This window comes from Homo sapiens, chromosome 15 (assembly GCF_000001405.40).
Source record: "Homo sapiens chromosome 15, GRCh38.p14 Primary Assembly".
Lineage (NCBI taxonomy): Eukaryota > Metazoa > Chordata > Mammalia > Primates > Hominidae > Homo > Homo sapiens.
This window is the reverse complement of record NC_000015.10, coordinates 45,279,223-45,280,090: the sequence shown is the minus strand read 5'-3', so window position 1 is coordinate 45,280,090 and position 868 is coordinate 45,279,223. Positions and strand designations below refer to the sequence as shown.

General features: G+C 52.2%; 1 annotated feature.

The window, feature by feature from the left end:
* Positions 452-631: an enhancer, noted in NCBI's record as "active region_9355". NCBI's record gives its function as "activates an Ori minimal core promoter by ATAC-STARR-seq in GM12878 lymphoblastoid cells {active_cell/tissue: GM12878}" and the evidence as "EXISTENCE:reporter gene assay evidence [ECO:0000049][PMID:35858748]".

Here is an 868-nt window from a genome sequence, read left to right as displayed (position 1 = left end):
TGGCAGAAGGGACAAGGGACCTCTCTCAGGCCTTTTGAATAAGAGCACTAATTCCACTCATGAGGGTTTCACCCTAATAACCTAATCCCTCCTATAAGAGCTTTACCCTCTTGTTCAGCCTCCTGGGGGAGTAGAATTTCAACATATGAACTTCAGGAGACACAAACGTTCATAGCGAGACCCTGTCTCTACAAAACATAAAAAAATTAGCACATGTCTGTGGTCCCAGCAACTCGGGAGGCTAAGGCAGGGGGATTGCTTGAACCTGGGATGTGGAGGCTGCAGTGAGCCCAGATCGTGCTACTGCACTCCAGCCTAGGCAACAGAGCCAGACCCTGTCTCAAACAAACAAATAAATAAATAAAATGAATGAGGTAGCTCTATAAGTACTGGCCTAGAAAGATGTCCATACACATTAAGCAAAAAGGGCAGGCTCTAAACAACAGGCACAAGAGAGGCTTTACGGTGTACTTTAAGACAAACAGTGTACTTTAAGACATGCTGCCCATTCGGTGATGCAGCCTGCCTCTCTCCTCTCCTCATCCCCGCGGTCTCCTTTCCACACTACTCCTTTCCACAGCGCCTTTCCACGATTTTCCGTCTTTTTCTCTCAGGACTCTTCTGCTCCAACAGCTCTTCATCTCAGAGTCCCGGATCAGGACCCGGATAGACTAGCTGTGGGAGGAATGCGCGTGCGCCGTGGCACCGCCCACAACGCGTGGTGGGCGTGTTTTCCCCGCCTCCAGGGCGGAGCCCAAGAGCGATTGGTCCCCGTTTTGGGCCTCCCAGGATTGACTGGCCCTTCCACCCAACCAGGGCGGTCTACACCCTCTCACATCACTTCCGCCCTCGCCTGGGAGCGCCTCTC